This window comes from Homo sapiens, chromosome 4 (assembly GCF_000001405.40).
Source record: "Homo sapiens chromosome 4, GRCh38.p14 Primary Assembly".
Lineage (NCBI taxonomy): Eukaryota > Metazoa > Chordata > Mammalia > Primates > Hominidae > Homo > Homo sapiens.
The window spans coordinates 70,533,243-70,547,066 of record NC_000004.12 but is presented as its reverse complement, the minus strand read 5'-3'; positions in this window follow the sequence as shown (position 1 = coordinate 70,547,066).

The following is a 13,824-nucleotide window of genomic DNA, read 5'->3' as shown; positions in this document are numbered from 1 at the left end:
AGAGTTCAGAGTTCTTGTTAATGTTTTCTTCAGGAAGGAGAGGACTGTTAATGTTAATTTTTGAGAATCCCAGATGTACTGTATTTTAAAATAATCACTTATTTGATATAGGGTAGTGTGAGGCACCATGTGGAGTTGTTCCTACTTCATCAGAATTAGCGACTAAACCCCAAATGGGAACAATAGGGACTGAGTCTCCACATTCTTTGTTTCAGGAAATCATCAGGTATTAGGACCAGTAATTCTCTTGTGCACTCTACACCTATTGGTTGGTAATAGATATTCTTGCCAAAGATACTGTGGAAAGGGGTTAGGAGCAATGATCAGGAATGGACTTCTAGTTTTAATAATGGTAGATTGAGTAATTTGGATGAATTAACTGTGTTCAAGACAATTAAAAAGCTGAATGATTTGTTAAAAAAACTGAAAACTATCAGAGTTAATAAGATAGTGAGGAATTACTAGGTCAAGATCGGGGAGAGTATGGAAGTCTAGAAGGGAGAGCACAGCATTTGGGACCATTTTTTCCCTAGAGCTGGTTGCTGATCTGGAAGTGGTTAAACTGTATACTTGATAGTCTAGCTGGGCTAGAGGGTCTAAAGTCAGAGTTCAGAGCCCACCAAGGTGGGAGCCCTAAAAAACTATGACTTGCAATAGACTAGGGAACTCCAGGGGTGAAACAGAAGTCAGTTAGCCTTCACAAGGACCGCAGCCTAGCTTTCTGTTGTTTGTGTGGCCCAGAAAAATCTCAAACTGCAAAACTGGATTAAGATGATCCAGATTGTTGTTCACCTTGGCTCCTAGTAGAAACAAACAAAAATATTATCTGGCACTCATTGTTTCTACAAAAATTTTTTAGAAGCAACTTTGAACATGCTATCAAAGATAACCTGACTCAGTAGGAAGAAAGATCCTGTGAGGAAGAATGGAAAGAAAAACAGACAATAGAAAAAGACCCATATGGAATCAAGATAATTAGAATCATAGTTTGTTTTAAAAAAAACTAAGACTATATTCAAGAAGATAAAAGCAAAGTTTGTTTTTTTTTTTTTTTGAGATGGAATTTTCTGTCGCCCAGGCTGGAGTACAGTGGCTCCATCTAGGCTCACTGCAGCCTCTGCCTCCCAGGTTCAAGCGATTCTCCTGCCTCAACTTCCCCAGTAGCTGGGATTACAGGCACATGGTACCACACCTGGCTAATTTTTGTATTTTTAGTAGAGATGGGGTTTCACAATACTGGCCAGACTTGTCTTGAACTCCTGACCTCAGGTTATCTGCCGACCTCAGCCTCCCAAAGTGCTGAGATTACAGGAGTGAGGCACTGTGCCTGGCTGAAAAATTTGACAAGGAACTGGAAACTATAAAATATGGTATAGCAGATTTCAAAAAGAGCCGAATAAAAATTCTAGAAGTGAAAAGGCCAATAAACAAAATTAAGAGAAAAATAGATGAGTTAGATGGGTTTAACAACAGATTACACACTGCTGAGGAAAGAAGTACTGAATGAAATATAGATCAGAAGTTTAGAATGTAGGATGACAGTAAAAGTCCTTAGCAATATATATATATAAGCTATATATATATACGTGTATATATTTATACATGTACACGCACACATACACACACACATATATATATAAGGTTGCACTCACAGTATTAAGGATGCAATTTGCAGCATGAATGAGTCTACCAAAACCAGTGGTAGGTATCTACCTAGAAAGGCAGTGAGGAGATGTTGTAAATATTTGTAAAGAAAGTGATTTTCTATGTGCTAACTTTCTTTGACTTCTCAAATGATTCTATTCTCAGTTACACAGGAACACTTAAATAAAATAGTAGATGCTTTAATATATAGACACTTTGATAAGATATGAATAGTGGACTCTTAGAAAATGTTTAGTAGATTCCAGAAGGGATATAAGTACATGACTTTTTGAGATGTTCTTATACATAACATCCTCTTGTGATTTTAAGTTTAAAATAAGTTGAATTCAAATTTTATTTTTAATTTGACTCTGAAGTGAATAATTGTTGCAATTATTTGTACTATTTGTTGATCTAAAATCTATTATATACTGACTTCATACTGGGTATGTAGTTATCAATTTTAGTTTTACAAATTTAAAGTTTTAATTAAATTAACAATTAAAAGTTCAACTTGTTTCTTAGCACTGTTGAGATTTCTGAATGTGGCTTCTTAAATCTTAGATTAGATTCCTACTGGTCAAATCTGCAAACATTTCATTTGGAGGATTAGCCTGCATTTTATGGCCCTTTTCATGTGACTTCTTTTCCTGGTCTGTGGGAGATCTTCCTATCTAAGGGATACATAATTATAGAATTTGGTTTCCTTTTTTTCTGAGTCACTCCCATGGTGTTGTAGGGATCACCTACTCATTTACTTTGCTCAGACACTGTCTGGTTTTCCCAAAGTGTCATTCTTAACCACCCTCCTGCCTGACTACTTGAGTCCTTACTTGGGTTTACAGACTGCAATCTGATTTGAGACAATTTGTTTCTAGTAGCACCTTGCTGTCTTTTCCCTGGCTACACAGCCAGTTCACTACTCTTCTAGTTTTTCTGTCTCAGCACCACTAGGGGGAGGTCATTTTAAGCAAACCACACCAATTTGCAAACACTGTGGGCTAATATTTTAAAATACTAACCAGTGGGGTTTTTTTGTGTGTGTATATTTTAGGAAAATTAATAGATTTTTAAAAGTAGTTTTATGTTTACAGAAAAATTGAAGAGGAAGTCCAGGAGTTCCCACTTACACCTCCTCTTCCTTTCCCCTACAGTTAATTCTATTATTAACATCTTGCGTCAATGTGGCACATTTGTTACAATTGGTGCTACAATTGTACATTAAGATACGTTAAATATATGATCCAATAAAATACATTATTAACTAAATTCTATAGTTTACATTAGCATTCACTCTTTGCATTGTGTATTTTATGGATTTTGATAAATGTATAATGGCATGTATCACTATTATGGTGTCATACGGAATAGTTTCATCACCCTAAAAAAATCTTCTGTCTTCCGCCTATTCATCCTCCCTTCCCCCTGAACCTCTGGCAACTACTGATCATTTTGCTATCCCCATATTTTTGCCTTTTCCAGAAAGATCATGTAGCTAGAACCATACAGTGTAGAGACAGGGTTTCACCATACTGGGCAGGCTGCTCTTTTTTGAGACAGGGCCTCACCCTGTCACTCAGGCTGGAGTGGTGCAGTAGTGTGATCATGGCTCAACCTCCTAGGCTCAAGTGATTCTCTCACCTCAGCCTCCTGAGTAGCTAGGACTACCACAATGCCTGGCTAATTTTTATTTTATTTTTTTTTTTAGGGATGAGGTCTCAGTATTTTGCCTAGGGTGGTCTCGAACTCCTGGGCTCAAGCAATCCTCCTGCCTTGGCCTCTCAAAGTGTTGGTATTACGGTAATGAGCCCAGCCTGTATGTAGCTTTTTAAGACTGGCTTCTTTCAGTAACAATAAGGCATTTAAGGGTCCTTCATATCTTGTTGTGGTTTGACAGTTTATTTTTATCACAGAATAATATTTCATTCTCTGGATGTACCACATTTTTTTCATTCATTAACCTATTGAAGGACTTCTTGATTGCTTCTAAGTTTTGGCAATTATGAATTATAAATTATGAATTGTGTAGATTCTTGTGTGAACATAAATTTTGAACTATTGGGGTAAATTCCAAGGATTGTATGGTTAAGAGTTTGTTAGGTTTTGTAAGAAACCGCCGAATTGTCTTCTGAGGTAGTTCTATCATTTTGCATTCCCATTAGCAATGAATGAGAATTCATGGTGTTTCACATCTTTGACAGCATTTGGTATTATAAAGTGTTATAGGGTTTAGCTGTTTTAATAGATATATATGATATCTCGGTGTTTTTGAATTTGTAATTTCGTGCTGACGTGATATTGAGCATTTTTCATAGGCATATTTAAGATTTGTGTATTTTCTTTGGTGCGATGTCTTCAGATCTTTGCTGATTTTTAAATTGGGTTATTTTCTTCTTACTGAGTTTTGAGTTCTTTGTATACTTTGTATATCACTTCTTTATAAGATATATGTTTTGCAAAGATATTTTCCCTAGTCTATGGCATATCTCCTCATTCTGTTAACACTGTTTTTGGCAGAACAGAAGTTTTCAATTTTAATGAAGCCCAACTTTATTTTTTCTTTCATGGATAGTGCTTTTGGTATTGTATCTAAAAAGTCATAACCAAATTCAAGGCCACCTAGATTTTCTCCTACATTATCTTCTAGGAATTTTATAGTTTTGCATTTTACATTTAGGCATAAAGGTATAATGTGTCTAAAGTCTGTTTTTTTTTTTTGCATGGGAAGTCCAATGATCATCCTTTCTGTGCTGAGTTGACTTTCTTTGCTAAAGGTCAGTTATCTATATTTGTGTGGATCCATTTTGGTACTCTGTTCTGTTTTACTGATCTAATTTTCTATTATTTCACCAATACCACACTGTCTTAATTACTATAGTTTTATAGTCAGTCTTGAAGTTGAGTAGTGTCAATATTGTGTTGGCTATTCTGGGTCTTTTGGCTTTCCATATAAACTCTAAAATTAGTTTGTCAAAATCCATAAAATAACTTGCTGAGATTCTGAGTGGGATGGCATTTAACCTATAAATCAAGTTGGGAAGAACTGACATCTTGACAATATAAATCTTTCTATCCATTAATACATAAAATATTTCTCCATTTATTTAGATCTTTGATTTCTTGAATTTTGCATATTTTACCAGTGTATTTTTGTTCTGTGTTATTACTTTCAACCTTGTAGCTCTTCCTTCATTCAATCTAGACCTGTACTAATTATCTAATACGGTAGCCACTAGCCACATGTGACTATCAAGCACTTGAATTGTGGTTAGTTCAAATTGAGATGTAAATGGAAATAAACATTGGATTTCAAAGACTTAGTAACAATAACAAAAATATAAAATAGTTTATTATTTTTTATATTGAATATATGTAAAAATACATTGAGGATATATTCACTTAAATAAATATATATTCATAAAATTCATTTTATCTGCTTCTCTGTCTTTTCCATGTGGCTACTAGGAAATTTAAAATTACATTTGTGGCTTATATTATATTTCTATCAGATCACTCTTCTCTAGACTTTAGAATCCATTCCCTCAGAGAAAAAAGGAAGAGCAGAAATACTGAAAGATAAAAATTAGTGCATTCTTGGCCTTTCAGCTTCAAAATAAACTTTAGAATTTTACGGTAGAAACAATGGTTTGAGGGAAAATAATTTTGGTCTTAAAAGCCAAGATCTGAAGCATTTGGTATAAAGTAAATGCCATAAAATAGATCTGGAAGAACGGATCAATGCCAATATTTTTGCTCTCTTCTCCAAAATATAACGGAAAAGATTATACAAACTAGGAGAAGACAAGGGAAGCAGGAAAGAAAGATCTTAGAATCTGTGTCTCTGATAAGATGCCCTGTGAAGAAGGGATCAGCGTGGGGAACATTAGAACCCTAGGTAGCGTAGGAGAAACTGAAAGGGAGGAGAGGGAAGCTCAGCCCTTCTTTTAGATGTGCCCCAGGAGGCAGCATTAATGGCAGTGTTTTCATGTGCCAGTCTCAGGAGTGATGGAGTATAAGAGTCCTAGGACAGAGTTTAGGCAGAGAGATCTAAGGCAGCTTTGCGGAGACTTCCCAGGGGGAGCAGGGGGAGGCAGAATGTGGGTGAGTAGGATACAGTAGTAACCTGCGAAGACTGTTGGCCAGGCAGAATGTCAATATCTCAGCAATGCCAGTATGGACTTATGACAACAGAGAAAAAAGAGTACAAAATTAAAAATACAATTTAGTAAGAGAGTGAAAGTTTATTTCAAATGAAGAAAGATGTCACAACAAATTATTAATTAAAAAAGCTGACAACCCACATAAACATCACCAAATCCAGATGGTTAATACTATTGTTTAACTACTTGACAAATCTTTTTTTTTTTTTTTGAGACAGGATCTCACTCTGATGAACAGGGTAGAGTGCAGTGGCATGATCAAAGCTCACTGCAGCCTTGACCTCTTAGGCTCAAGTGATCCTCCCACCTCAGCCTCCTCAGTGGCTACGACCACTGGCAAATGCCAGCATGTCCAGCTTTTTCACTTTTTGTAGAGATAGGGTTTCGCCATGTAGCCCAGGCTGGTCTCAAACTCCTGGGCTAAGAGATCTGCATGCCTTGGCCTCCCAAAGTGTGGGATTACAGGCATGAACCACTGCTTCTGGCCCTGACGCATCTTTATAATACTTATTCCTTACACTTTTTGAATTTTGATTGTCTCTTCATATGACAATGATTTCATAGTTTTTTTTAATAAAAGGAATAGAAAGATGATCCAGTCTTTCCTCTAGCATTATTGATTAAATCAGCATTTTATTTTTGATGATTTAGAAAAGTTTCTTTAAACTTCATAACTTTTATGCAAAACTAAGTTCAAAGCCCAGTTTCACAAAATGCTAGCTCCTGTATGATCTTGGACATATTACTTACACAAAACAAGATTTAGATTCCCCATTAGTTAAGTAGGGTTGTTACTATTAGCCTCATGGTTCTTCTTCCCTAGACCTGTGCTGTTCAACACGGTAGTGGCTAATTGAGCTCTTGAAATGTGGCTAGCTCAAAGTGAAATGTAAATGAGAATATATACTGGATTTCAAAGATTTAGAAACAAAAATAAAGAATGTAAAATAGATCATTAATAATTTAAAAATATTGAATACATGTTAGAATGAATATTTTGGATTTATTACATTAATAACATATATTATTAAAATTAATTTTGTCTATGTTTGGCCAGGCGCAGTGGCTCACACCTGTAATCCCAGCACTTTGGGAAGCTGAGGTGGGTGGATCACCTGAAGCCAAGAGTTTGAGACCAGCCTGACCAACATGGTGAAACCCTGTCTCTACTAAAAATACAAAAATTAGCTGGGTATGGTGGCACACGCCTGTAATTCCAGCTACTTGGGAGGCTGAGGCACAAGAGAGTCACTTGAACTTGGGAGGTGGAGGTTGCAGTGAGCCAGGATTGTGCCATTGTACTCCAGCTTGGGTGACAGAGTGAGACTCTGTCTCAAAAAAAAAAAATAATTTTTTCTGCTTCTTTTTACCTTTTTCATGTGGCAACTGGAAAATTTACAGACACATATGTGGCTCACATTATATTTCTTTTGGATAGCACTTCTCTAGACTTTGGTATCTATTACCTTGTCAAAGTTTTTCTGGCCAAAAGAGAGTAAATTAGAATGTAATTTTCCAGAAATATATTGTACTTCCCTTGTAAAATGCCCTCAGTATATACTACATGAGGTACATACTTTATGGTATAAGCAGAATTTGTCACCCAGAACAAGGCAGGTATTATTACAAACTTGGTATCTTCTAATAAAGACATAAATAGGATTATTGAAAAACCCAAAATGCAGAGGAAAGAAGGGCAAGTAGAATGTTTAAAATTGGGTAAAGGTGGGGAGGCAGAGATGTATTTATTATGAAGCTAGTGAAGTTTAAGTTGAAACTTCAGGGCCCTTCACTTATACTGGTCTCTTCCAAGATCCTAAGATGATACTAGCATGGGTTCACAGGATCCTGTGTTTTGTAGCTTTTGAAAAAGTAAGATATTTTAACCACAACAAGTTATGACTTCTCTTTCTACTCTGACTTTCCTTTTATCATACTTCATGTTGTGTCAAATGGCATTGATGTAGTTACAGGTGTTTTTGTGATCCACCTATGAAAGGTTAAATTGAGAACACTTTTAGTTTGGGTTTAGTGGGGTATATTTATGTGGCTTGTAAATAGTTGTTTCTGGTTGTTTTATTTTAGAAATAGCTTCCAGAAATACTCCTATTTCACCCATCCCCTAAAGTTCCAATGCACCAAGTACAGGTATAGGGACACCAAGTGAAAGGCCAGAGCTGGTATCACAATGTGTCTTGTGATGTTTGGTAGCAGAAGTAATGTGGTTATGTGGTGAATGGAAGAGAAAAAGTCTGTAAGGTTGGAAGCCAGAAAGTAGTCTGTGGGAAATTCTACCAGTTGTCAGACAGTAAAATTGGAAGCAGAGTTTTCATCTTTCATTGATGCCTCATGTAACAGGAAGATCTCTTCTGTCAGGAGTATGTTTGATATTAAAGCACATAGAATTATACATTTACTATAATTTTTTTGTTGAGAATTGAATGAAACTGGTTTTATGAGAATTACCGTGTTTGTGGGGGTATATTCCTGTAGTAGTATAACAAGCAATGAGAGTATGTGTGAGTTACATACACACATGAAATCATGTGGTTTTCAGTATATGTAACTAGAAAGAGGATAAAAATAAATGGGTGTAATACTGTTCAAAGTTTTTTTCAAAGTTTGATTTGAAGATCCTTGAAAGTCTCTGAGATCCTTTTGATGGTCATCAAGGTAAACTACTTTTATAATATCAAGGTTTTATTTTCCTGTTTCATTCTTATTCTCTCGAGTTACAGTATAAATTTTCAGCACAACATATGTAATATTGTGACAGATACAGTGAATGGAGAAGCAGACACAAAAATCTTAATATTTTTGATTAAATCAGACATGAAAGATATTTTAAGAATAAAGTTACTATTCTCACTAAATTTTGTTCATTAAACTAAGTACCTCACCTTCTCATCAAAGTAAAAAAGTAGTTATTTTTCATCAAAAGTAAGTTATTTGTATTAATATATAATTTATGTATTTTGATATTTAAAAATGATTCATAACTAAATATTTTTAATTTCTACCACCAAAATTATTTTTAATGATTAGTCACCTGATGATTCCATTAGGTCCCTATTTAATCCTATTGATATTTGAAACTACCTGAACTACCTGATTTGTAAAAGGTCATTTTCATTTTTAACAACAGTATCAATATTTCAGATTCTCAATTTGTTTTGTGTCCTAGAGGTTTTTAAGACAGAAAAATTTTCCACAGTGAAATCAGTGATAGATAAGAAATGTGAGGGGGCTTCAAAAATTTATGGAAAACGTGTATTATGAAAAACTGTGGATGGATTAAAAAATATTTTCGCACCAAAATAAACTTGTACTAACTTGTCTGAACAAGGTCTCATTTGATGCACTAAGAAGACAAAACATCAGTTTGAAAAGAGCCCCTATCAGAGCAACATGGATTTTGCTAAAATTGAAGTGAGAACAAACATGAAATTGATGGTGAAGTTTGGGTGGGAGACTTGGGAAGTCATCAGTGCTTTACAAAAGTTTATGGGGACAGCACCTCAAAAATCAGCAATTTATAAATGATAACTCATTTTAAGAAGGGACAAGATGATGCTGAAGATGCGAAGATGCGGTAGACTGTCCACATCAATTTGCGAGGAAAAAATTCATCATGTTTGTGCCCTAATTGAGGAGCACTGATGATTATAGCAGAAACAGTAGCCAACACCACAGACATTTCAGTTGGTTCAGCTTACACAATTCTGACTGAAAAACTAAAGTTGAGCCAACTTTCCAGTCGATGGGTGCCAAAACTGTGGGTCCCAGATCAGTGCAGTCAAGACCAGAGCTTTCGATGGAAATTATAAACAAGTGGCAGAAGGATCCTGATGCATTTCTTTTTTTTTCTTTTTTTTTTAAATTATACTTTAAGTTCTAGGGTACATGTGCACAATGTGCAGGTTTGTTATATATGTATACATGTGCCATGTTGGTGTGCCACACCCATTAACTCATCATTTACATTAGGTATATCTCCTAATGCTATCCCTCCCCCGTTCCCCCACCCCACAACAGGCCCCGGTGTGTGATGTCCCCCTTCCTGTGTCCAAGTGTTCTCATTGTTCAGTTCCCACCTATGAGTGAGAACATGCGACGTTTGGTTTTTTGTCTTTGCGATAGTTTGCTGAGAATGATGGTTTCCAGCTTCATCCATGTCCCTACAAAGGACATGAACTCATCCTTTTTTATGGCTGCGTAGTATTCCGTGGTGTATATGTGCCACATTTTCTTAATCTGGTCTATCTTTGTTGGACATTTGGGTTGGTTCCAGGTCTTTGCTATTGTGAATAGTGCCACAATAAACATATGTGTGCATGTGTCTTTCTAGCACCATGATTTATAATCCTTTGGGTATATACCCAGTAATGGGATGGCTGGGTCAAATGGTACTTCTAGTTCTAGATCCCTGAGGAATCGCCACACTGTCTTCCACAATGGTTGAACCAGTTTACAGTCCCACCAACAGTGTAAAAGTGTTCCTATTTCTCCACATCCTCTCCAGCACCTGTTGTTTCCTGACTTTTTAATGATCGCCATTCTAACTGGTGTGAGATGGTATCTCATTGTGGTTTTGATTTGCATTTCTCTGACGGCCAGTGATGGTGAGCATTTTTTCATGTGTCTTTTGGCTGCAGAAATGTCTTCTTTTGAGAAGTGTCTGTTCATATCCTTCGTCCACTTGTTGATGGGGTTGTTTTTTTCTTGTAAATTTGTTTGAGTTCTTTGTAGATTCTGGATATTAGCCCTTTGTCAGATGAGTAGATTGCAGAAATTTTCTCCCATTCTGTAGGTTGCCTGTTCACTCTGATGGTAGTTTCTTTTGCTGTGCAGAAGCTCTTTAGTTTAATTAGATCCCATTTGTCAATTTTGGCTTTTGTTACCATTGCCTGAAGCGTTTCTTTGAAGCATTGGAACAGGAGATGGAACATGGCTTTACCAGCATGATCCCAAAGACAAAGCACAATCAACGCAATGGCTACCAAGAGGTGGAAGTGGTCCAGTCAAAGCAAAAGTGGGCCAGTCAAGAGCAAAGGTCACGGCAATAGTTATTTTGGGATGCTCAAGGCATCTTGCTTGTTGGCTTTCTGGAAGGCCAGAGAATGAGAACATCTGCTTATTATGAGGATGTGTTGAGAAAGTCAGCTACAGCTTTAGCAGAAAAATGCTTCTCACTGGAGAGTCCTCCTCCACCACAGCAATGCTCCTGCTCATTCCTCTCATCAAACATGGGCAATTTTGTGAGTTTTGATAGGAAATCCTTAGGCATCCACCTCATAGTCTTGATTTGGCTCCTTCTGACTTATTTTTGTTTCCTAATCTTAAAACATCTTTAAGATCACCTATTTTTCTTCAGTTAATAATGTGAAAAAGACTTCATTGACATGATTAAATTCCCAGGACCCTCAGTTCTTTAAGGATGGACTAAATGACTGGTATCATTGCTTACCAAAGTGTCTTTTTTTTTTTTTTTTTTGAGACTGAGTCTCTCTGTCACCCAGGCTGGAGGGCAGTGGCACAATCTTGGCCCACTGTAACCTTCACCTCCTGGGTTCAAATGATTCTCTCGCCTCAGCCTCCTGAATAGCTGGGATTACAGGACTGTGCCACCACGCCCAGCTAATTTTTGTATGTTTAGTAGAGACTGGGTTTCACCACATTGGCCAGGCTGATCTCGAACTCCTGACCTCAAGTGATCCACCCAACTTGGCCTCCCAAAGTGCTGGGATTACAGACATGAGCCACTGTGCCTGCTAGAAGTGTCCTTTTTAAAAAAAAGTTAATTTTAATTTTATTTTTAAAAGTTGACAGACAGTAATAGTGCATATTCATGGGGTACATAGCAGTGTTTTGATACACATAATGTATGAAGATCAGATCAGGGTAACTAGCATATCCATCATCTCAAACATTTATCATTTTTTTATGTTGGGAATGTTCAATACTTTTTTCTAGCTATTTGAAACTATATATTATTGTTAACTACAGTCATTCTACAGCGGTATAGAATACCAGTACTTATTCCCCCTAGCTAGTTGTAATTCAGTGTCTTGAACTTGAAGGAGCTTATGTTGAGCAATGAAGCTTATATTTTTAATGATATATTTCTTTTTACTCTATAAATGTTATTCTATAATCTATTTATTTATTTATTTATTTATTTATTTATTTATTTATTTATTTTGGAAACAGAATCTCACTCTGGAGTGCAGTGGTGCCATCTCAGTTCACTGCAACCTCTGCCTCCCGGGTTCAAGTGATTCTCATGCCTCAGCCTCCAGAGTAGCTGGGGTTACAGGAGTGCACCACCATGTCTGGCTAATTTTTGTGTTTTTAGTAGAGATGGGGTTTCGCCATGTTGGCCAGGCTGGTTTTGAACTCCTGGCCTTGGCCTCCCAAAGTGCTGGAGATTACAGGTGTGACATGTCTGGCTAATTTGTGTGTTTTTAGTAGAGATGGGCTTTCACCATATTGGCCAGGCTGGTTTGGAACTCCTGCCCTTGGCCTCCCAAAGTGCTGGGATTACAGGCGTGAGCCACTGCATCCAGCCAATAATCTACTTTTAATTTCATTTTCCCATTAACTTTTTGAAGTTCCCTCATAGATCTGTCTTTTGAAGGTGGGAAAAGAGTGAGTATGAAAGGGGAGGAGGAAAAGGAACATGTTCTCAGGCAGATATGTCTCAAGAGAGTACATAGGTGAGAGTTGAGGATGGAAATTAAACCCTTAAGACCCTGTAGCCCTTAGAAAGTCTTCAGGTTCCCCCAGGAGTAGCATATCCCAGTTGGAAGACACCCTGGCTTTGATGGTCTAGATGGTAATCTCACACCTTGTGTATTAATGCTGTCATGGCAATATGTATGCAGGAGTTTAGGGAGGAAGATATGGTGCTGGAATAATTGATAGCCTCGATTGGTTTGAAGAACATTGAAAGTAAACAAAATGGATTTCTATAGTGGAATTTGTAAAGCACCTTGTGTATTTGCTTTGATGATCATATTAACTTTGTGGGACATCTATGACAGGGATTTTTTTTTTTTTTGAGAGAGGGTGTCACTCTGTCATCCATGATGGAGTGCAGTGGCATAATCTCAGCTCATTGAAGCCTTAACCTCCTGGGCTCAAATGATCCACCCACCTCAGCCTCTTGAATAGTTGGGACTCTAGTTGCATGCCACCATGCCCAGTTAATTTTTGTATTTATTTATTTTTGTAGAGATAGGGTTTCACCATGCTTCCCAGGCTGGTCTCAAACTCCTGGGCTCGAGTGATTCACCCGCCTTGGCATCCCAAAGTGTTAGGATTACAGCGGTGAGCCACTGTGCCTGAACATGACAGGGATTTTTGCCTCCATTTTACAGATTAAAAAAATGAGGCTCAAAAAAATTAAAAAATTAATCAATTAGTTATTTTAAAGACAGAGTCTTGCTCTGTTGCCCAGACTGGAGTGCAGTGGTGCGATCATAGCTCTTTGCCGCCTTGAACGCATGGGCTCAAATGATCCTCTTGCCTCAGGCTCTCAAGGAGCTGGGACTACAGGTACATACCAGATAACTTCTCAAACTTTTTTTAGACATATGGTCTTCCTATTGTGTCCAAGCTAGTTTTAAACTCCTAGCCTCAAGAGATCTTCCTGCTTCAGTCTCCTAACTGAAAGAATATTTTTTTGATAGATGGTTATCCAGGAAGTCCTTTATTAGCACTTTTAATTATTATCACAAGTGGCAAAATATTTTTGGAAGTTTGAATACTAATTTACTCTCATTTGGTCATGAATATTGACAGTTTATAAGTAAGTTATTCAGCTTCTGCATATCTGAAACAAGGTGGCTAATAAATCATTAACCACTAGCAAATCTGTAACCACCTGATACACTAAACATGGAATATATTTCATGGTGCATATTTCCATTTGTTGCGTACTGATGGAGTTGAGCCGTATATAGTGAGAAATGTTATTAACCCTATCCATACCTTTCTTTTTGGGGGGCTCTACTGCAGT